The following is a 25,401-nucleotide window of genomic DNA, read 5'->3' as shown; positions in this document are numbered from 1 at the left end:
ATGCAAATAGATTACCCATCTTGTACTCACTGTGTTTATTTCAATAAATGATCCACAGAATATGCTACTTTTGATTTATAGTTTTCTTCTCCTTCACCGCTGTGGACTGGGAAAATATTTCTTATTATTTCTGCTGCAGAGTAGCAAAAAATTATGAGCCAGAAGGAAGACCACTACAACAAGCAAAATCTCTGAGTAATCATAAAATGAAGAACTATTTCCTGTTGGGATTCACTGTGACGAATTTGATTTTAAATTCTTGATGTTGGCATTTTATTTTTAAAACTTAGCTTTCTTGCCTATTCTGAAATTGTCAAAAATTCAGAAAAATAATCATGATCATTTGCTTGCTGACCAGTGGAGACCTACTGATTTTTAGGCTGTGAGACTACAGTAATAAATAAATAAAAAAGTTCATACTTCCTTCTATCGAGGGAAATTGAGCATTTTTCTCATAGTCCTAAATCACCAGATCAAGGGATATATGTAATACTTGAGTGTTGACATTTTATTAATTTTTATATTTAACTAGAGCTGTAAAGTTGAAACAAATGGGTCAATGCAGTAGCCCATAAAATATTTTAAAAACACATAAAAGAAATATCACTAAAATTTAAACATAAAAAAAATACAAAAAAACCCTGAGCTATAGGAAGGGAAGTATCCTCTAAATGCCCAAGTTGAAGGTAGTCCTCTTAGAAAGGCACAGTAAGAAGCAGTGTTTGATGGGAACGTGATTTTTCAAGTATTTGAATTTTCAAACTCACCACATTAACTGAGTAAAATGAAAAAAATATATAAACTTCCTCTGAGGCAGAAAAAACATTTGGCATTTTCAAGATAGAATTATAATAAAAATATCTCGCCCCAATAGAATACAAAGAAGCATCCTTAAGCAAATAGAAGGCATCTACGGAAATATCACACTGAAGTTTGAACTAATAAATTATTCATTTAAGATCCAGAAGAAGACAAAGTGTCCTCTTTCACTATTGTTCTCTCTACTGTATGGGAGGAATTAACCAGTGAGACAAATCAAATAAATAAGTAAAACATACACAGTTAAGAAATGAAAAATACACTTCTAAATTTTTAAACAACTCCATTACCTACACATAAACTTCTAGTGACTGTAAAAATCAGCTGCTGGAATAAACTAGTAATTTTAGCCACATCATAGAAAAAATAAGTCAACCCATTAACTTATTTCTATATATTTCCAATGAGCAATTAATGATAAAAATCAAATCCATGTAAAATACTAATAAAAATAAAATATGTATATATGATTTTAACAAATTACATGCAAGATCTCTCTAAATAGGAAACTAGCAAAAGTGTTGGGAGATGTAGGAAAGTTCTAAATAAATGGAGTCGCATACAATAATTGATGGTTTTGATGTGTGTCCCTGCCCAAATCTGGTATGATGTAATCTCCAATGTTAGAGGTGAGGCCTGATGGGAGGTGATTGGATCATGGGGTGGATTTCTCATGAGTGGTTCAGCATCATCCCTCTTGATACTGTTCTCATAATAGTGAGTGAGTGAGTTCTCATGAGATCTGGTCATTTAAAAGTGTGTAGCAGCTTCCCCTTTCACTCTCTTGCTGTTCTGGCCATGTGACGTGCCTGTCCCCCTTTGCTTTCTGCCATGATTGTGCGTTTCCTGAGTCTTCCCAGAAGCTAAGTAGATGCCAGCATCATCCTTCCTGTATAGCCTGCAGAACAGTGGGGCAATTAAACCTCTTTTCTTCATAAATTGTCGAATCTTCTGTATTTCTCTATAGCAATGCCGGAACAAACTAATACAATAATCATGGCTTGAAAGTTCAGTGAATTTTAGTGTGTAAAAGGTTTTGGTTTTTCCAAATTAATCATTCTAGAAATCCTCACCATAATCACAAAAGATATTTTTATATAAATTGACACACTGATTTAAAAATGTACATCAAGAGAGCAAAAACAAATGATAGAAAGCTGAAAAAAAAGTTGGAATACTCACACTTCCTAACACCATGCAATAACTTAAAGCTATAGTCATCGAGAGAATGTGTTATTAGTAGATGGATAAACAATTAGAGTAATGGAATGGAATAGAGTTCACAAATAGATCCATGCTTATATGAATAATATAATATCAAAGATACTGCAGTTATTCAAAGGGGAAAGATAATTTTATTTAACAAAGTGTGCAGAACTACGAGATAAATGTGAAGAAAACAAACCTCAAGTCCTTCCTCACAACAAAAGCGTGAATGAGTTCAAAATTAAAGGAGTCCAAAATATATTATGGAACAATGTGTAAAAGTGAAAGCATAGGCTTCAAATATAAAGCACAGAAAATGTCTTAGTAAACTACATGAAAGCACTTCTTTTTATCCAAACTGTGGATACATTTCTTTTTATTCAGAAAGCAATAATTATATAATGATAAACTACAGAAATGTGTAAATATATTTATACTTTAATGTTTATTTTTAATTACACAATTATATATACTATTTATTATGAATAAGAGCAAGAATATATAAATATAATGTACAACATAGAAACAAGAGAGCTATAAAAACTAACAGATGCTACACAAAAATGATATAATAGCAAATAAGCAAAGGAAAAATTTCTTAATATCGTTAGTAATAAAAAATAAAATGAGATAATTATACACATCTACTAGAAAAGCTACTATTTTAAAAATTGTGTTACCAATATTTGGCATAGATGTCAAGAAACCAGACTCTAGAGTTTGCATACATCGACGGTGGGAGTGTAACACAGTACAGCTACTTTGGATAACTAAATCTACCTTACATGTACCAATTCTACCCCTAGGCATTTATCCTAGGGGGGAGAAAAGCATAAGTCTGTAAAAAGGCTTGCACAAGTACCTTTATTCATTATTGTCAAAAACAGACACCATGCAACTGTCCACCAAGAGCGGCGTTCTCAAGTTCAGCACTATTAGCTGTTGAAGTGGCTTAATTCTTTGTTGTGGGGAGCTATCCTTTGTGGAACCCTGGCCTGTGGACACTCTATCCCCTCCTCCACAAACCTCTGATAACCAAAAGTGTCCCCAAACATTGGAAATGTCCCCGGCAGGTAAAATGTCCCTCATTTGAGAACCTCTGGTCAAGAGTTTAGTAAATAAATTATAGTGGTATGTCTATGAAATGAAATAATACGTAACAATAAAAAAAGGTGCTACTTCAACATGCAAGAAATTGTTGAATCTCAAAAATATTATGCTTAAGGAAAAAAGACAAAAAGAATTCATACTCTATAATTCTACTGATATATAATTGTAGAAAATAAAAGCTAATATATGGTAATAAAACCAGATTAGTACTGGATTGACAATGTGTTGAAAGTCAAAAGAAGAGGCTTGAGATCTCTTTCTAGTGTGATGGTTTTACAAGTATATACGTATGTTAATGTTTAAAAATTTCACACCTCAAAAATGTGCAGTATACCAGATGTTAATTATATCTCATAAAGCTATTAAAATTTTATCTCAAAATTATAGCTTTATTGCATTTAGGGCATTATCCAATTTTGAATCTAGTCCAGTTATCATAGCTTAATGCAGTATTATGAAAATAATGCCTATAAAGGTCCAGTTCCTCAAACACCCTTGGAACCAATTTTGTCATCTATATTAGTTACCTTGGGCTGCTATAATGAAGTACCACAAGCTGTGTGTCTTTAAGCAACAGAAATTTCTTCCCTCACAGTTGCGGAGGTCAGAGGTCAGAAAACAAGGTGTCTGCAGGACCAACCTCTCCTCTGGATGCTCTAGGTGAGAATCTTTTCCATGCCTTTCTCTTAGCTTCTGATGTTGCCATCAGAACTTCAGATGGTGTTCCTTGGCTTCTGTCAATATTAATACATAAATCCTTTTCAGTCTCAGCTTCTCTCTTCACATGGTCCTCTCCACATCCTATCTGTTTCTGTTCCCTCTTCTTATAAAGACAACCCATGTTATTTTAAGTCCCACCTACAGACATAATTTTAGCTTGATTACATCTGCAAAAACTTTGTGTCCAAATGAGGTTTCATTTACCTTATGTGTATAACTAGGGGTTAGGGCTTGAACATACGGGTTTGGGGAGGGGAACACAGTTCAGACCATGACACTCATTGTTTCACTCATTAATGAGTTAAGGGTGCTTTGATATTATTACATTTGAATGAGAGTGGTCTTTAAAATTACATTTTGTCGTGTAGTTTGTTCCACCCTGATGCTTAAAGGGAGTCACCTGCCTCAGCCAATTAAACTGTGTTGTCTCTGCAGTGCGTTTTATCACAAGAACATGACCTTTAAGCACAAGAACACCTTGTACTCCACCACTAAAAACAGAAATGACATCTACCTTCACTGCTTCCCTATTTCTCTCCATCTTTACTGACTTGGTATTTTGTTGTTGCTGTCATTTCTGGTTGTTGGTCAATTTTCATTTCTGTTCTTATTTTGCTGATAATTCTTATAAATCAGTGCTGAATTTTGTCAAATTATTTTTCTGCATCTCTACAGATGATCATTTTATGTTTTCGTCCCTGTGATAATTTAGTGAATGTCATTGATCAATTTTTAAATAATGAATATCTTTGCATTTAAGATAATATTTTTCACTATTAATGTTATCTCTGAAATGAAAGCTAAACCTAGTCAATAGATATTAGAGGTGCATGATTTTTAAAATTGTATAAAATTAGATAAAAAATACAAAGAAATATATATAATTTTAAAACTATGTAAAAATGTAAATGCCAAATGATAGAGCACTAAATGAAGCTTGTAATATTAAATACAATCTTTAGAAACTCTTTTGCAGTGCAGGAAAAAAATAGAACTGAAAACAAAGCAGAAGAAATCACAGATATAAAATTAAAGAGGATAGAATTAAGCACCGGAGTTCCCACATCTAAAGTGAAAATCTAAGAATTTAAATATCATTCAAATGCAGACTAAAATACAATATAAAATAAAATTTCCTGAGCTAATTTTTAAAATACTGCTTAATTTGTAGGTAAAAATGCAGACTAATTTTCTGACTATATTACTATAAAAACCTTCTACAAATATTTTTTAACTAAAATTATAAGAAAAACATCCGCCATAAACACGTAAGATTAGTATTTTCGTTTCTGAAGTATAAAATGTCTGGATAGACTTGAGCTTGTTGCTTTAGTTTTATATGTGAAGACTGGAAAAATTCTGTTTTGTTTTGAAAAATATTTTGAGCTAAAAATGTTGTATTCCACATTTGTTAGGAATGGAAGTCTTTAAAATATGAAATATTTCCAATTGAAGAAAAATAGTGAAAATGAACTTTATCTGAATAAGATTAATGAAAATTACATGTTGAAAAAGTAAAATAGTTATGTGTACTAACAGTGACTACTAACCCAACAATATAAAATTAAGTAAAAATATTATTACCATGTTAAATACAAATTAAAATTAATTATAAAAAAGTTAAGATCTATGATTAAAGTATTAAAATAAAATGAGACTGTATTCACAAATCTAAAAGCAAATTGGTGAATGACATATTTTTTGAAATAATAAATTCTTTGGCATATTTTATATTTTTTATTATAAATGAAAATTATTTATTTGAAATATTTAAAGGAACAAAATATTTGCAGCTCTATTTTATTGAGAAAGGAATTACAAAACAAAAACAAGGAGCTTTTGTAATTACAAAAGAATATATTAATAATATTATTTAGAAGCACAAAACCAGAAAAGCTTTATATTATTTCTAACAATAAATGTAAACCATCTAATTTTCTGAAAAGGGGTGGAAATAAATATTTAACAAAGAAGATGTTATTCTTAAATTGTAATATGTACATTGCCTAAAAATAAAAAGGTAGTTGAAGATATATTGTGAACAACAAAAAATGAAGAGCTGATAATATTAATGTGCGAAGGAAACTCATAACATATTGTACTAATTATAAATCAGTGTATTGACAAAACCTGAGTCCTCAATTATTATTGACTGTCATTGACATGTTAATGATAGAATATTAAATATAGAATATAATAAAGCAATTTAGAATAAAAAAGAGAAAGCGATAGACATGAATAGAAACAAAATGCAACTGTTCAATATTAAAAGCCTTTCTAAATTGCTTGTGTTTTTCTAGTGACCTGTTTCGCTATGCAGTGTAGGCTCAGGTGTCTAGATTTTAGTTGCAGATAAACACAGGTAGTGTTTTCCAGATCTCAGAATGACCAGTTACATAAAAATAGGCCATAAACCATATATTTCATTCTTACGGTTGACAAACCTCTAATTCACCTGAAAATATTAAAAAGAAAGAAGACAGACGTGACAGTGGTTGGAAGTTGAGGATAAGAAGAAGTTGGCAGAAATAAGCTTTCTTCTTTTGGACAGCAATGCATGATAAAAAAAATTAAACTAAATTCAGTTCATTTCCACTAACTGGGACTTATTTAGAAACTTTAAGAAAGTCTGAAGAATTTCAATTGAGGAGTAAATAAGGGCCAATTTATTTCATAGTGTGGACTCTCAAGACAATATACAACAGTGCTTCTCAAAGTTAAACAGTGTATGAGTGACCTGGAAATGAAGATGCAGATTTAATAGGGCTGGAGAGAAGTCTGAGATTCTCAATTTCTAATGAATTAAATTACAAAGAGGAGAAAATAAGGTTATTGCTTACTTTATATACATTCACAAACACAGGCTAATCAAATAATTGTTTAAAGTATTGCTCTGATAAGAATTAAATTACATAGTTCATAGGAAACATTTTCTTTACATTCGGATTTTATCTATTATTAGAATAATAATAGAATCTTGACTTTATGTAACTCTATGTTCCAAACAACTAGAAACTTTTCGATAGCAATTGTTCACCATTTAATAACATTTTTCCAAGATACCTAATGCACTCAAGGACAAAATAGCTGCCTTCCAGTGATTTCCAATTTATTCAATTTTCAGGCCATCTGTCTGCCCACACAATGACAGATTATAGTTACATTCTTGCCATGCTCTGAACAGCTAAGCCAATTGTTTTCAATCTTTTTTCTTCAGCAACTCCATCTCTTAAAGTACTTCAGAGTAGTTCCTGAAAGGATTCCTCTTTAGTTAAATGGCTATACAGCTCTCCCATCATCCAAAATAATCAGTGGAGAGATAGCAATATTTTTCATTACATTAGGCCAAGTTCCATTGCTTCCTTCATCTTGTAATCTGATCAGAAACACCACTATAGATTCAATAATTGAGTTTAGAGTTTCAGAGAATTTGGGGTCACAGAACATCTATGTCTATTTTGTAAAGATTATTGCATATTACTGAAATAGCTTGTCAAACACTGCAGTCTGCTTAAAGTATCAAAATAGAAATGTTGAATGCTGTGTCTGCACAGAGTTCATTTAAGCAAAGAATCTACTAGGCTCTTAAGTCTGTTAATGCAAATTCCTGAATACAGCTGACCCTCCATACCCCCATTGTGGGTGGATTTAACTAACCATGAATCAAACATATTTGTTAAAAGAAATACCAAAAATAATTTTTAAAAAGAAATACAACAATAAAACAATGCAAATAAAAAACAATCCTTATAACAATTATGTGCATAGCATTTATATTGTATTCAGTATTATTAATGTAAGTAATCTGGAAATGATAGAAAGTATACAAGAGGGTGTGTGTAAGTTATATGCAAATACTAGGCCATTTTATATAAGAAACTTGAGCATCTCTGGCTTTTGCTATGAAGGGATGATGGTGGTAGGATTGGTGGTGGTCCTGGAACAAATCCCCAGCAGGTACCAAGGGGGACTGTAGACCCCAAAGCTGTTTAGGAATGGGTCACAGCAGCAGGACTGAGGCAGGAATGCTCCCCACAGAAAACATCAACCACCTGTTGATTTTTGAATCTGCTCCTCTCAGGCATGCCTTCAAATGCTATAACCTGGAGATTCAACTCATTTTCATGCTGCTAAGTAGGAATAGGTGATTCAATTCCCCAAGAAAGTGACAGAGGTCCCTGAAATATAGATTTAAAGTTACATAGTGTCAAATGCTAGTCATTTTCTTTTTGCTCGATGGTATCCTCTCAGAAAAACCTTTTATAATATTTCTAATTCATTTACCAGATTTATAGAATCATCAAATTGTCTATCCATGTGTTTTTCAAATATTTTGTGAAGTGTCTAGGGTAACAACCTAGTGTTCGAACGTATTTTGTGAAGTGGCTAGGGTAACAACGTAATGTTCGAACTTATGTTCGTATTTAAATACAAATGTATTTTGGTTGAGTGATTACTCAAGGTCACTGAGGAATCCACAAGGTTAACCTCCTGACTCTAGAACCATTGTTATATAGAGATATATAAATAGCTGATTTAATATTATAGGCTTAGCAAAATATTTAATAAATAAGGTCTTAGTAAAACAACACACATGTATTTATCCACTTATTTAATTTTGTTTTTCCATTTCTTCTGAACATAAGTTCCTGAGGACACGGGCCTTTTTTCACAGTTCATTTTTGGATTCCAACATCTAGCCAGTACTCTGCAAAGAGCACTGAATTTGAAAGAAATTTCTCAGTTAATGATTTGAATCATATAAAATATTTAGTAAATTTGAAAACTAGTAACCGTGTAAAGCGATTAAAACAAACATACTAGAGGGTAATAATCCCCCGCCCCTTGCCTTCTTCCTTTACATCCACTTCATTCTTATTCTTGTCTACTTCCCCTGCCCCACCCAGGGAACGTGGTTAGCCCATCAGCTGCAAAGATTGTTCTCATATAATATTGTTCCGATGGATAATGAGACTCTGAAAGTGGAACATAAACAGATAAAACAAAAACAAACAGAAAAGAACCCAAAAACCTAAACTCAACTTCAGTTAAAGCAGAAAATATCTGTCCAGCCTAAACCAGGCATACTCCACAGACTTCTGTTAGACGCCTGATCCTACTTCAGTCTGGAACCACCTAGTCTTCAGGTTTGCCTGGTGCTCACCAGCTGAAGAAATCCTTTAACGACCTTTATTCAGTCAAGTAAATCGTTTTCTTTTGGCAACTTGCATGTTATTTTTTAGGTTTTCATTTATTTATTTTTTTATATTTAAAGTCATATTTTCTTCCTTTTATTCACTTTGCTGGTCTTTCTCACTTTGATTTTTTTTTTTTTGCCTTGTTTTGCATTTGTTTACTTTAACATTTTTTGTAACTTATCTCTTTTATTTTGGAAATTATTCACATTATCAGTTTTCTTTTGCTAGGCAATTTTGATATTCTAATAAACATTATTAACATAAAATATAAAGTTTACTAACACCAAGCCCAAACAATACAAAGTCTTAGGGCTCTTTAATTGCAATTATTTAAAAATATTTGCTACAAATTGTTCATTATTTTATATTCATGTTGTTTTTCTTATTCCCACAAATCACATATTGTTGGTGTGTTTGTTAAATAAAATTGTGACTGCTTATATATGTTTTTTCACATCCTTTCTTCTTCTAATATTTTGGAATTTACATCCAGTTAATTATCCTTTATTCTATGGTACATACTGTAAAAGTTACTATTCTTGGTAGTAAACTCTCAGTTTTTGGATTGTCTGAAGATGTCTCTATTTTGATCTGCTCTTGAATTCTAAATCTAATTGACATAAAATTCTAGATTTGCCGTTATCATTTATTAGCACTTCAAAGATATTCCACAATTTTCTGACTTTCAATATTTTTGTTGGTAAAAATGGTGATTGTTAATTGGCTTGCATATTCTGTTTTGGATATTCCACTGTTTCCTTATAATTTGTTTATTTATAAGGAAACTTATAAACAAATTATAAGGAAACAATAGAATATCCAAAATAAAGAGAATAGTTATGGGTTCGTTTAGATAATTCTTCAGAATCTACTAATTTGTGTCTTTCTTCTTTACTTCTGTAAACTTTTCAGCTACTATATATTAGAATATTTCTTAACTTTTTTATATTCATTCTGAAATTTCTTGCTGAAATTTGTTCAGAAGGTGAGTTAACGGAGCTATACATCTTTAGTGTCATGTGCTCTAAATTGCAAAATACATGTATTTTTATTTCAGACAACTTGAGTAACATTTGTGCAAATGTTTTATATACACGGACTTAATTTGGTAAATTTAGGCATGTGGTAGACAAATTTAAAAATGTATAAAAATCATGGGCAAGCATATGAACATTCTATTTTTGCTACTATAAAAAAATAGCAGACTATCCAACTATTTTATGATACTCAACGATACATCTTACTAAATGGTCACGACTCTTGCCTCTCAGGGTCAGAGTTTGCAATAGTGAAAGCAAGAGAAAGCCACGGAAAAAAAAACAGGGAGAGGGAAAATATTAAGCTCTAGAATATGTACATTGTTTTGCTTGTATAAATTTAGAACATTCAACACATGTTTACAATGAATACATATAAAATACCAATGACATGAGGAGAATTAGAATAGAAATAAATACAAGGATTCTTTCATGATAACTAAAAATATCAGTGAAGGTTTGTACATAAAATTTAGGGATTTTATATTATTACCTAATACAATTCTGGCTATAACATCACTAAAGGATTGTAAACGTCTGCTGGGAAACCTATGGGAAAAAAATGCAAGTGGAACTGGTGTCATACAAACACATTTTCTAATGGGAAGCTTAACTGGTGAAATGTAAGTTGGAAACATTACTCAATTTAGGTCTATGAAAATGTTTTCCCAAATACAATCTTTTCTTGTTTGATAGGAGGTTTTACTGTGATGTATTATTTCTGACAGCCTCTTTTTTTTTTTTTTTTAAAGGAAACGAGTAGAATTAAGTGAATTGATTATCATATCTAACCTGTAAGTACAAATTACTTTCCCTTGGAATTACATAATTGATAATTGTACATCCTCAGATGTGTTTGAATCTGAGATTTACTCTAAACTCAGAGGAAAAAAAGTGAAATTTTGTTTCCATTGTGACACCTTTGTTTCCTTTTTAAGTTTTCAAAATTTCTTAAAAATTATTTTTCCCTTTCATAATTTATTCAACAAGTATCTATTGTTAGGTGTTGGGAACACAAGACCTAAAACTCCTGACAAATATATTCTATTTCTGAGGTCAATTTGTACATTAATAAATGCATATATAATACCAGACAAGATTGTAATGCTAACCAGTTTGACTTTGAGGCACGGTATTCAGAATGTAAATGCCCCTGGAAAAAACATTGAATATAAATGCCCCTGGAGAAAGAATGTAGTTGGAAAAAACATTCTGAGGTAAAATTATGCAATATTGGTATGACTAATTAGAGTGACCAGAGGTTCACACATTTTTGTGACATGCCATTGGTAGAAAAAGAGCCATAGCTGAAAAAATATGGCAGTCATAAGATGTCAGTGGAAATGAAGACAAGGATACCTTTTGGTCAATTTTCTTGAAAATATTGGCTTTTTCAACAGTGTAGTTTATTTAAAATTTAGTCCCAGTTCTTAGCAATTATTTATATACTGATGGACTTATATCCAGGGTCTTCTTGAATTAAAAAAAGTCAAAAAATAATTTTATAAATTTAAAATATTATAAAATTATGATATATACAATTCTTGCTCTCTCTGTCATATTTTTCCAATTTTTTGTCTGTCTTGTTTTTTCTTGCCTTTTCTTCCCTGTCCTTTCCCTTTCGTTTCTTTTCTTTTTGTTTCCTTTGTCTGGCCTTGCTTTGAGTTTCTTTTCCAAACGAATTCACTGGAGGTGGTATTTTTATGCATAATATACACAGCAAATGTCTAGGGCCTCTCATTTTTTACAAATCTTTGTAAGAAAAGGCTATCTATTAACCCAATGACATTGTCATAACCTTTTCTAAATTTCAATGATATTCAGTTTCTCGCAGCTATTACATTACAAAGTATACCTCAGTAAAAATCTAGTAAGTCATAGGGCTGATGTTGCTGATTGCTCACTTGCTCAAGCCAGAAGCTTAGAATACATGCTTGATTCTTCACTTTCCTGTGGGTTTATGCCAAATCAATTTCAAATCTATAGATCTTATCCTCTAAATAACATACAGCATGCCTACTTTTTTCTCTCTCTCGACTACTGTCACATTAATTCAAAAGAAAAAGACTGATGATTCCTAACTTCCTGGCTTCAGTAATTGGCAACGATGACATCACTACTAAGGCTTCACTTCTCACCTCTGCTTCCATATGAGTGTAATGTTATTTTCTCCTATGACAGATAAGTTTATTTTTCACCATTAAAAGGTAAGAAACTCACTCATAACCAAAGTTGGAGGAGACAGTTATTTTTTTTCCCCAGCTTGCCTGTTAAAACCATAAGGAATGATTAATCTGCCATGGTGCTTGATGTGGCCCAGGGATGTGCTCAGACTCAGTCATGTAGGGGCAGGTGGTATTAACATTAGTTCAAACATGGAACCATGGCATGTGTTAGAAATAATGGCTTATATTAGAAACTGGACATAAAATTGTCGTGAGCAAGAAAGTTACCTCAATTTGAGTCTACTAGAAGTTTCAGAGTGCCATTTCACATGGCCACAAAGTTCAAAAGTTCCAAAAGAAGCAAAAGTTTGACCAAGAAATCAGTGATTTTTTAAAAAAGAGAAATTGAGCTCAATCATGTTTTTTATATCTTCTACTGTACTAAAAGTTTTTTTCTCAATAATTGACTAAAAGTTCATTAACTACTGCACAGACTTCAATATTTAGAAATGTAATACGGGCTTGCTAACTAAAAGTGAAGTTATTTTATTGTCGGAACTAGCTATTGTTAGAAAGACTCATTTGCTTTTTATAATACAATTTTACATATGATTTATAGATTGACAGATTATAACAATTTATAGATTATTACCTCATTAATTTATTGAATAACCTGACTAAATTACTTAGTCACTGAATTAAATACAACCCAGCCTTAATACTTTGGGTCAAGGAACATTGACCAAATATGTATTTATGCCACAGATTCCTTGAAATTTCTTACCAAAGTAAATTGTTTCATGAAAAATACAGAAATAAATTGGTAACTAAATAAAACATGTTCTATATTTCAACTTGAAAAATTAAAGAAATTAATAATTCTTAAAATCAAAGCAATGATCATTTGTTTCCTAATTATTATTATTGTGAATGTACTTAAAATTTTTGCTATGCTTTTAAGAAAGATGTACTTCTATTAAAAATTATTAAAATAAACAGCAGAGAGACTGACTTTTCAAAATAGTTTATCTGGGAAGAGCAATGAACTGCAATTTGGGATATGTGTACCGTACTGAACCATAGGCACATTTGAAAAAGCTGGGGGAGCCGAAGCTTTTTTAAGGGTAAAAGGTGAAGTTCCCCATCAAACTACCGTTGGCATTCTTCACAGAATTAGAAAAACCTATTTGAAATTTCATATGGAATCAAAGAAGACCCCATATAGCCAAGACAATCCTAAGCATAAAGAACAAAACTGGAGGCATCACACTACCTGACTTCATTACTGCAGGGCCTCAGTAACCAAAACAGCATGGAACTGGTACCAAAACAGACATATAGACCAATGAAGGTGAACATAGACCTCAGAAATACACCACACGTCTACAACCACCTGATCTTCAACAAACCTGACAAAAACAAGCAATGGGAAAGGATCTCATATTCAGTAATAATGTGGGAAATCTGGCTAGCCATATGCAGGAAACTGAAACTGGACCCCTTCCTTACACCTTATACAAAAATTAACTCAAGATGGATTAAAGACTTAAATGTAAAACCCCAAACCGTAAAAACCCTAGAAGAAAACCTAGGCAACAACATTCAGGACATAGGCAGGGTGGGCAAAGACTTCATGACAAAAATGCCAAAAGCAATTGCAACAAAAGCCAAAATTGACAATGGGATCTAATTAAACTAAAGAGCTTCTGCACAGCAAAAAAAAAAAAAAAAAAAAAAAAAAAAACTATCATCAAAGTGAACAAGCAACCTACAGACTGGGAAAAAATTTTTGCAATCTACCCATCTGACAATGATCGAATATCCAGAATTTACAAGGGACTTAAACATGCTTACAAGAAAAAGACAAACAACGCTATCAAAAAGTGGGCAAAGGATATGAACAGACACGTCTCAAAAAAAGACATTTACGTGGCCAAAAAACATACAAAAGAAGCTCAACATCACTGATCACCAGAGAAATGCAAATCAAAACCACAATGAGATGCCATTTCACGCCAATTAGAATGGAGATTATTAAAAAGTCAGGAAACAATAAATACTGGAGAGGATGTGGAGAAATGGGAATGCTCTTACACTGTTGGTGGGAAAGTGAATTAATTCAACCATTGTGGAAGACAGTATGGGCATTCCTCAAGGATCTAGAACTAGAAATACCTTTTGACCCAGCAATCCCATTACTAGGTATATACCCAAAGGAATATAAATCATTCTACTGTAAGGGAACATACGTGTATATATTTATTGCAGCACTATTTACAATAGCAAAGACATGGACCCAACCCAAATGCCCATCACTGTTAGACTGGATAAAGAAAATGTGGTACACATACACCATGGAATACTATGCAGCTATAAAAAAGGAATGAGAGCATGTCCTTTGCAGAAACATGGATGAAACTGGAAGCCATCATCCTCAGCAAACTAACACAGGAACAGAAAACCAAATACCGCATGTTCTTATTCGTAAGTGGGATTCGAACATTGAGAACAAATGGACACAGAGAAGGAAACAACACACGCTGGGGCCTGTTGGAGGTTGGGGGGTGAGGGGAGGGAACTTAGACGATAGGTTGAAAAGTGTAGCAAACCACCATGGCATACGTATACCTATGTAACAAACCTGCACGTTCTGCACATATATCACTTTTGTTTGTTTTTTGAAGAAGAAGAAGAAATAAAGAAAAAAAAAGGTGAAGTTCATGTAAATTATTTTAAAATAAACCTCTTTGGCCCCAGAAGCTTATTGCTTGGTATGGACAAATACTCATCGGTGATACTGGCTATTGCTGGGAAGATGTCTTCATAGAAGCGTCGTATCTAAAATTTTTGTAGTTTTCAGGGAGTCCTTGCAATAGTTCTTTTAGAGACATCCATGCATGAAGGGCCTTCTTTTATACTCTCCCAGCTCCATTTTGTTGTGGTTTGACTTCAGTGAGTCAACTTCTTTGCTTGTAACTTTAACATTTCCCCCCTTTGACCAAGAATTTTTTCTGAAAGCATTGCTGATTAATCAGCCTATAGTTAGGTTTTGATTGTTTCTTGGTGCTGGAGTGGACCTTTCCTAGTTAGTCTGATCCTGCATCAGAGGTGAATGGCCAGCAACTAAGAGCAGATGTCAAAACCCTTTTAGTCACATTTAAGAAACAAAGAGGTTCAGAAGGAGTGGCTCTCAGGATAAATCTGCCTGGAGTTCATTGCTAAGTTCAATTTTGTCAGTTCCATAGGCATTGACTACCATTTGGAAGTTCTGGACCAGTGTTATTCTGTTAGATGCATCATTTCTGCAGAGGTTGGACAGGAAACAGATAAAAAGTTTAAAAAGAATGATGCGGTACAAAATTAATAGTAACATGAAATATTGTCTATGAACATGGACCCAAAGGCAGCCAACTAATGAATCAAAAGTCTATGTGAGACTGAGTGAGATCTGTTGTAGCCATAAAGCCTGTCTTGCTATTTTATGCAATTAGGTCTTGACTTCCCCAGAGAAATATATTCAGGTACAGCATGTAGTTATTAGCAATGGCACAGACATTCTTGTTCAACCAGTAGATAATTGAGAGTTATCTCATCCTGTCCTGTTGTGTTATCTACGGCTACTCAGCAAGATACTTTAATGAGCACTGCTGGGCGGCAATAGCCTTTGCAGTGAAGCCTGCAACGAAACCCAAGGTGGCAAATAAATTAGGGATGTTGCCATAGTTACCCACTGGGTGGACTAAAGGATCCCTTAGGTCATGTAAAGATGTGGGTTTGACACGACAGATCCAAAACTTCATTCAGTTACGGAAGCTACTGAATGTGAAATTCTAACCACAGCGTTATTCTGCCAAGTGAAAAATGTAGGCATAAGCAAGAAAAAAAAAAAATAAGAAGGATAAGAGTCCAGTTTTGTTACAATGTCTTGGGAAAAGCTTTCCACACTGTGATGTCATCAACTTCTTACTCTGGTTTGTAGTTTGAATGTTCCTGGGTATAGCATGGGGCATTTTAGTCAATTCTCTTTGTAGCCCACACAATAGCCATGAGATTTCTCTCTTGAAATTTACATGGAGTTTTCTGGCTCCAACTTATAGGACTTTAGGAACAAGGCAGTTTATGTTCTTAGTTGGAGAATCGTAGCCAGACGTTGGAGGAAATTAGAATAATTAAGTGCCCTGTCTAATTTAGAGATAGATGACAAAAACTTGAAAACAACAAAGAAAACTACAATCTACTAACAGGTGTACTGCAGTTTTTCTTCAGAAACATAATTTTTCTCTGTACAATCATCCCTATTTCTACTAAAGATAATCAGAGTAAGACTAATTTGTCTGCTGAATAAGTTTAGTCTCATTAAACTTGGCATGATTATTGACAACAGTATAGCAAGAAAAGGGATGAAACATGGGCTGTTTTTAAGTTTATTTTGACGGAACTTTTGATAAGAAATCTCAGATTAGACTTTTAAAAGCCTTTCAAGGGTCAGAAGTCAAAGGAGGGCGAACATCAGACTTTGGCTGCAGTATCTAAAAATCTGCATGAATTTCTCTCTTCTTGAGGTCTCCAATATATCTGGAGGTTCCTGGCCTGTCAAGAGGTAAAAATGTTTATTCACTCACTGTGAGCTTGGGAATCCTTGAAGCTAGGCATCCTGTGCATAGTCTCAAATATCACATTCAAGTCAAACCATTTATAATATAACCAATGTTTGTAATTCTATCCTGTTACAAAGAGAATAGATTTTTATTGAATTAATGCAAATAACTATGTTGCCATAAAATAAAAATATCAATAAGAGCTCTCTGAAGACTGCAGCCGCAGGTAGGAAGAAAAAATAAATATTTCCATTTTTATTTATAAAAGTATACTTTACCAAATTGCTGTATGCTATAGATAGCTTTTTAAAAGTTTTCTCAAATCTGGAAAACAAAAAATTTAAAAAAAACAGCAAAATGTTAAACAAAAAGTCACTCGAAAATATTGCCATCAGTTTGTTTAGTCCCATTCATTAAACTTATTCTACTTGATCTGGGTTAGATGTTTTAAGAAGCCATCGTTTCTTCATTAGAGTCCTGGAAATTCTTTCCCAGTCCAGTGGTATAATCTTAAACTCATAAGAAATCTAAATTCCAGCATACTTGTTAGAGTCCTTTTCATGAACCTCCTTGAAGAGGAAGTATTTTTCTTTATTCATTTTAATTTATTCTCTACAATACTTCATTAGGGAGTTCAATGATTTGCACTCAGAAGTTAAATAGCCAAGAGGCAAGCAAGTATAATAAACTTCAGAATTGGACTGAGGTTGTTGCACTGAAGGCCATGTAGTCTTTTGCTTCAGGGAAATAACAACAAAAATAACCAAAATGAACACATAGCTCCCTAGGCTTCTGAATCTCAATAGAGAATAACATCAACATTTAATGAAATTGTAGATATTAACACATCATGGGAAAAAAGATACTGTGCAAAATATTATAATTAACACTTGGCACTTCTTATGTCTAGATTTTTATTATAAACAATAAAATATATGTAATATCTTAACTACAGACCTTTCATGTTGAAAGGGCATCTAACATAACTTGTTTTAACATTATGAAGGGAAAAAGTTTAGAAATTTCAAAGTGGAAACAATCCAACACTAACAAACTATAGTGATCAAAAGTATTAACTTTTAAAGAAAAACAAGGACAATTCATAAAAGTAGAACTACCATTTGATCCAGCAATCTTACTGGTTATCTACCCAGAGGAAAAGAAGTCATTACACAAAAAAGATACTTGCACATGCACGTTTATAACAGCACAATTAGCAATTGCAAAAATGTGGAACCAGCCTAAATGCCCGTGAATCAATGAGTGAATAAACTGTGGTATATATTTATGTGTGTGTGTGTGTGTGTGTGTGTGTGTGTGTGTGTGTGTATGTATATGTATATATATATGCATATGTATATATATATATATATATGCATAAATACATATATGTGATGGAATACTACTCAGCCATAAAAAGGAATGAATTAATGGCATTCATAATAACCTGGATGGGATTGGAGACTATTATTCTAAGTGAAGTATCTCAGGAATGGAAAACCAAACATTGCATGTTCTCACTCTTAAGTGGGAGCTAAGCTATGAAGATGCAAAGGCATAAGAATGATACAGTGGACTTTGGGGACTCAAGGGAAAGAGTGGGAAAGGCATGAGGGGTAAAAGACTACAAATTGAGTTCAGTGTATACTGCTCGGGTGATGTGTGCACCAAAATCTCACAAATCACCACTAAAGAACTTACTCATGTAACCAAATACCTCATGTTCTCCAAAAACCTATGGAAATAAAAAATTTAAAAAATTACAGAAAGGGAATGTATTATGAGACAAGCCACGTTTATAGACCAAAGCATGCTCATAGCTAGGGATGAAACAAACCACAAACCAAGCCAGCAAAGTTGGGTTGATTCCTTGAAAAGAATGGTTACCTATTGTCCAGATTGAGTAGCCCAAAGACAGAGGAAACACTGAGCGTAAAACATTCCCTTTTTTTTAATTAGCCGGGCGTAGTGGCGGGCGCCTGTAGTCCCAGCTACTTGGGAGGCTGAGGCAGGAGAATGGCGTGAACCCGGGAGGCGGAGCTTGCAGTGAGCCGAGATCCCGCCACTGCACTCCAGCCTGGGCGACAGAGCGAGACTCCGTCTCAAAAAAAAAAAAAAAAAAAAAAAAAAAAAACAAAAAACATTCCCTTTTTTTTAAACCTACCACTCACACCACATGCACTGATCACTCTCATCACTGCTTTGGTAAAGCATGTAGGATGCAGTTCAGTTTCAATTTGGAGCTGTTACCTCCCCAGGCAAAGCTGCCACACAGATGATCCAGGCTTGGTGTTTTTCCCGAGAGCCACCTGCCACACATTTTCATAAGGTGACCATGACTATGCACATCCAGGCTACTTCCTGACTAGGCCCTGTTCAGGAAGCATCCTGAGGTGTCCATTCCTCGTGGAGCCAAATAGTTCCCTTGGTTGACTCCTGAGTCCCCTTGGCAAGCCAAGCAGAATTCAAGCATTTCTACTGCTAGCCTTGTGTGGGAGCATGAGCGAATGTAAAGGGAGCAAGGCTCTTCACTCCATAAACCACAGCCTACTTCGGGGTGGTGCTGGACCAGCCCTATTCTTGGGTACTGAATTTCTTTTTCTCATTTGTTGGGATTTTAAATTTTCTATTTATTTTCTTAAATGGCAGGTATCCTACTGCATCTTCAATAAAATAAAATATATACATATATATGTTGTACACTGGAGAAAACAAATAGGGGAACAGTTTGATAGTTTAGCCCCATTTTTTGCTTTTATTTAACCTTTAGAAGTAAAACACAATTATTAAAACAGAATGCTTGAGCAGTAATAAGCGTAGCCCTATGTATCAATATTATTGTACAAATTGGATGTGGGTGCTTAACCCAGAGCTGACCACCCTGATAATAATCCAGAAAAAAACCATTGTTACATCTGTTTGTAACAAGACATTTATTATTCTCAGCACCAGGACATCATAAAATGACTCCTTGATCTTCATTTACTTCACCAAGGGAAACGTGGCAGGCTACAGAAACTCAGCACAGCAGTTAGTGGGGCTGTGCCCTGGGTGCCCTGATGTCACCCACATTTCCCTTGCACGTCTCAGGTCCTAATAAGCAGTGCAGGACAATGTTGAGCCAACCTACTCACCCGTGCCCATTCCTTCCCAGAAACTTAAAGGTGATCCCTATAATAGCACATATGTCCTTTCCCAAATTGTGTCTTTGCTCCCCTAACCCCATTCTTGGCAGAAGAAAAAACAAAACATCTCTTGACTTGAATATTTGCTTATTTTAGAAACCGACACAATCACCATAAACTTAAAAAAAAAAATAAATCAAAATGTTGTTTTCACTGGGTTGACACCTATCTGCTTCAAGAATTCTCTAAGCATGTTGTTGAAAACCAGTGTAACATCTTTAGGATCTTTCTCCCAACTGACCAGTCTTCCTGTGAATCATTTCAGCAGTTCCTTTGTGGCAATGTTTACAAAGCATCTTCTAAGTCCTCTAATTCTATGAGCTTTGCTATCAAAATAGTGAAGAATAGGAAAGGGGGAGGAAAAAACTAGCTGACAGCTGTTTGGAAATCAGCAACAATGTGAAAGAGAAATGTATCTCATGAAAGTTTGAAAGACATGGAATAAATGAGCTCCTTGGAAATTTGCCCTGGCGGAGTGAAGATTCCCACTTTATCTTCTTAGGCAAGATAAAGATCCACCTTATGTAATTACACAGCTTTGTTTAAGCATCCTGTAAAAGACTGAAAAATCAACTGTCTTCCTAACTCTACAGGCAAACTAGAAAAAGGATCTCCCTGCTTACTGGTCCCTCAGGATGTTTTCCTGAAAAGAAAACCAGCTTAGAGATACTGGATTTTCTTCTATGACAAAGTGTCCTCTTAAAGTCCAACCGAAACTTGTTTGCACACTTACACTTCTGAAAGCCTAGGTCCGACTATAGGGCTGATACCGGGAGAGAAGTGAAGTAGCTGGGTGGTGAGGAAGTGGTCTCTCCTTTCACATCTCTGTGCAGTCATGATATCAAGACCCCTTGTGGACATCTCTATTCCATTCCTCAGTCAGTGACACCACAGAGCTCTGTTTGATACCGGGAGACTTAATGCAGTAAAAGTGACAGAAAGTGCAACTGATAGTAGGATGAAAATTATAATCTTCAAGGATTATTGAGCCATGAGATCTGCAATGCTATCGTAGAGTTTCTGATCCTGATGTGGGTCTCTGTCCAGGATCCTTGAAGAAATTATGGCACCCACATCCAACCCTAACATAGCTTCCACTTATGAAACAAGGAGGTTGTAATCAACTCTTGGTATGTAATAAACTGGAAGTTCAAAAATGTAATTTAAAACAATCTAAAAGAATGTAGTGTTGGTCTCCATTGCACAGACTGCTAGGGGAATATATCAACTTGATTTGGGGAGGCTGTAGAGGTATATAGAGGAGTATATGGGTTAAACCTTAATGGGTCATCAGTTTCAGAGAAGAAGCAATTTTTTATTGTAGCTGATGGCAAATGCTTTTGGAAAAGAATGAAAGCAGTCGGTCCCTGTGGATGACAGACTTAGAGTGGCCATGGTTAAAAATCTCATGGAGTTTATTATAATAATAATGTAATTGACAAAGAAATTTGTTTATTTCTGTGGCATACAAAACTTGAAGATAATAACCAAGATTATGACCGATAACATATCAGATTTTGAAGAATTCAATATAATTTTGTAACACATATCAATAACATTCTGAAATACAACTTAAAGAAGGTTTAGCACCACTTAGTATTTGACAATACTCCCTATATAATTTAATATATCAAGTAAGTCTCATTAGTTTAATATATCTCTTTACAATGTGAGATACACATTCTTTGATCTTTCCAGGGGTCCAAATGAGAAATATCAAAATTAACTTGAGGGCAAAAAGAGTTAATTTAAAATATTATTTTGGGAAGTTTGTCAAAAACATCAAACAGTTTAAAACACTTTATCAGAGTACGATAACAGGTAACCAAAATGAAAATTAAAAGATTTCAAAAAATAAATGTAGAAATTTACATAATTGTCAACAAAAACATAGCTTTTTAATACTGAGAACATTTACTTTTCTCTTTTTTTAACTTTTATTTTAGGTTCAGGGGTACACATGTGGGTTACTTACGCATTTATATGGGTAAATTGTGTGTCACGGGGTTTGGTGTATAGATTATTTCATAACCCAGATAATAAGCATAGTACCCAGTAGGTAATTTTTAAATTTTCATCCTCCTTCCTCCCTCCACTCTAAAGTAGGCCCAGTGTCTGTTGTTCCATTTGTGTCCATATGTACTCAATGTTTAGCTCCCCTTATAAGTGAGAACATATGGTATTGGGTTTTCTAGGATAATGGCCTCCAGCTCCACTCATGTTGCTGGAAAAGAGATGATCTCATTCTTTTTATGGCTGCATAGTATTCCATGTTGTATATCTACCACATTTCTTCATCCAGTCTACCACTGATGGGCATTTAGGTTGATTCCATGTCTTTGCTATTGTGAAAAGTGCTGCAATGAACATACACGTGCATGTGTCTTTATGGTAGAATGATTTGTATTTCTTTTGGTATATACTCAATAGTAGGATTGATGAGTTGAATGGCACTTCTGCTTTGAGTTCTTTGAGAAATGGCCACACTGCTTTCCACAATGGCTGAACTACCTTACATTCCCACCATCACTGTATAATCATTCCCTTTTCTCCACAACCTCACTAGCATCTCTTATTTTTTGAGTTTTTAATAATAGCCATTCTCATTGGTGTGAGATGGTATCTCATTGTGGTTTTGATTTGCATTTCTCTAATGATTAGTGATGTTGAGCATTTTGTCATATGCTTTCTGGCCACATGTATGCCCTCCTTTGAAAGTGTCCGTTCATGTACTTTGTGTACGTTTAAATGGGATTGTTTGTTTTTCACTTGTTGATTTTTTTAAGTTCACCAGATGCACTGTGCTGGGGTTCTGTGATAGTCCCTAATTGCTGTGCACCCTCCCAAGCCTGAGAGCAGCAGGAGGGAGGGTTGCGAGACAGCAAAAAGGTGGACTGCCTCTCTCTTTGGGAGCTGCATGCCGGAGAAGTGTAGAGCTGCTCCCAGCTGGAGAACTCAGGAGGACTAGGGTGGCCTCACTAGCATCCCAGGCTAGTGGGCCTTATCCTACAAGGTTCAGTGGTGGTGAGGTCTGCAGTCTATCACTGCTCAGCCCCATGGACTTGGCCCCTTTTCTGGGGAGCGTGCAAGAAAACTTGGCCTTCCCAATTGCTGGAGCTGCAGCCCCTGGTTTTGGGGTACCCAGGGAACAAATGCTACTGGGACTCCACACCTACCTAAGAAGCAGCTCTACCCAGACTCCACATGGCTCTCTGTTTTGGTCTGGAGACCCCAGCTGGGGTATCTCCTGAGCCCAGGGATTCAAAGGTTCGTGGCAGAAATATGCATCCCACGGGACTCTCACTCACTCACCATTTTCTTGTAGGGGGATTCCCCTGGGTCTGTGCCACTCCTGGGTGAATGGCTGATCTGTCTCACTCTTCTCCGTGATCCGAAGGTCACACTATGTCACTGATGAATCCTTATGTGTCCACCTGGATGTTCCGGTTGAAGAGCTAGTGTCTCACCACTCTTTCTGCTATTTGTGAGAGTGGCACACACTAGCTGCTTCTAGTCAACCATCTTGGCCCCACCTCACTCACTTTTCTCAAGTAATCAAAGACCTAGTAAAAGAGAGCATAAAGCATAAGAAATTACCTTGATAAACAAAAAATCTTGGTTTATTAGGCCAGTTATCTAAAAGGTAGAGAAAACATTTCACTATTTTCTATTAAGAGCAGGTCAATACTCAAAGAAAAGCTTGTTGTTTCAGCACAGGGGACAAATTTCAAGTTTTCCATTCCTGTACTTTTGATAATAATGCTCAAGTTTTCAGAATATTTATAAATAATTTCCTTTTAACTTTAGCCAACTTGGTCACACATAAAATTCTTTTCACAAGATTAATCTTCCACAAACTTTCTATAAATTTGTCATCCAGTTATCTTATTCAGTTTTTGTCTATATTTTTTCTCTTTTTCTTTTTGGAACAGTAAGACATTCTACTTTTAGACAAAAAATACTCTCTTTTTCCCTTAACAAAAACACAACCTCTTACTTATAACTTTCTGTATGTGTTTTCCTTCCCTCGCGTACAGATTTGTTTCCCTTCATTATTTCTAGTTTAAATTACTCTAATATTAATTTTAATTAACTCTTAGTAACCTTAATTTCTAGTGAAAATTAGTAAGCATTTTGAAGTGCATCATGTTAGTATTTTGCAGATGAACACCATCTCATAAAATAATTTTTATGCCTTTAATTAACAGGCCCAAATATGTTTAGCTTTTCCATAACATGTGAAACCAAGATGCCAAATTACGTATATTTTAAACTTCTGTTAAGCAATTGATATTTCAGTATTTTCCTTAGAAATGACTCAAATATTAAATCAGTAAAGTGTTACTTAATTTAATATAACATGATTTTAAGATTTCAAGTCACACTAAATTATTTTTGAAATTCTGACAACTTTATTATCAACCTTTTGTCAATGTATATTCACCTAATTCACTTGTTCTTAACAATTGTGCTTCAGTTCCTCCTTAAACACAACGATGAGTGGATTTATAGCTTTAAGACATTCATTATACATCTCAGTAATAGCAAGCTTGTTTCACCAGTAACTTTAGGTTTAAAAACTGTATCTGTACATTGTAATTAATGCTGACAATTCTGAAAATATTTGTTTTTATTTTGCCAACAAATTTTAAAACTAGCTTTGTCTGCCAAAGATTATTTCATCACATAAGCCAAAAGGCAATTGAGTTTCTGTTTTTCTGAGAGAATTCTTAGTTTAAACACTTATGTTTTCTCTGTAAGCCAATTAAGTAGAGCCGTTTATGAATTTTGGTAGAAAAAATTGTACATACGCACACACACACACACACACGTAGAAAAATACAGACAGAGGAAGAACTTACAACTTGCATTAAGAATTGTTATTTGCCTGGCTTGCAAGTAGTTTTACTCCCTCTTTCAGACTATCTGTCTTTTAATGATCTGTTCAATTGGCCCATAAACAAGTGTTAGTTAGGCCACCCAAAATTTGTACTTCCAAAGAGATGATTTTTAGGTGAAGGAATGTAGAAAATTTAAATCTCAAAGGTACAGAACTTAAACACCACTATTTGTTGAGATGAAAAAAAGCATATATAGGAAGCCTTCAAAATGAAATGGTCAAGGGTGAGTTTACACAGATAGATAGATTTAGGTCTCTTCCTTTTGCTTTGTGAAAGCATCTAGTGTTTAGGTGTCAGAGAGGGAGATATCCTTACAAAGCAGAGATTATCATTACAGGTTTACATTTCTTACAAAGAGTTTCAAAATAAACAGGTAAATGCCAAAAACATATATTTTGGAGACGGATTAATTCACTAGTTGGTCTATTCAACTTAACTTGTTTCCTAATGAGATTAAATTCA

At 34.3% G+C, this 25,401-nt stretch overlaps 1 long non-coding RNA gene across 5 annotated transcripts in view; it reads left to right on the top strand.

Moving 5' to 3' along the window:
* The window catches only part of LOC107986355 (uncharacterized), a 102,717-nt gene that overhangs the window by 7,906 nt on the left and 69,410 nt on the right, over positions 1 to 25,401 (top strand). For all 5 annotated transcript variants that reach the window (XR_001742421.3, XR_001742420.3, XR_001742423.2 and 2 more), the window contains exons 2-3: positions 3,731 to 3,795; positions 10,843 to 10,884. This is a non-coding gene — a long non-coding RNA (uncharacterized LOC107986355). The remainder of the gene's footprint in view (positions 1 to 3,730; positions 3,796 to 10,842; positions 10,885 to 25,401) is intronic.

Source organism: Homo sapiens, chromosome 5, assembly GCF_000001405.40.
Source record: "Homo sapiens chromosome 5, GRCh38.p14 Primary Assembly".
NCBI lineage: Eukaryota > Metazoa > Chordata > Mammalia > Primates > Hominidae > Homo > Homo sapiens.
This window is presented reverse-complemented; position numbering and strand designations above follow the sequence as displayed.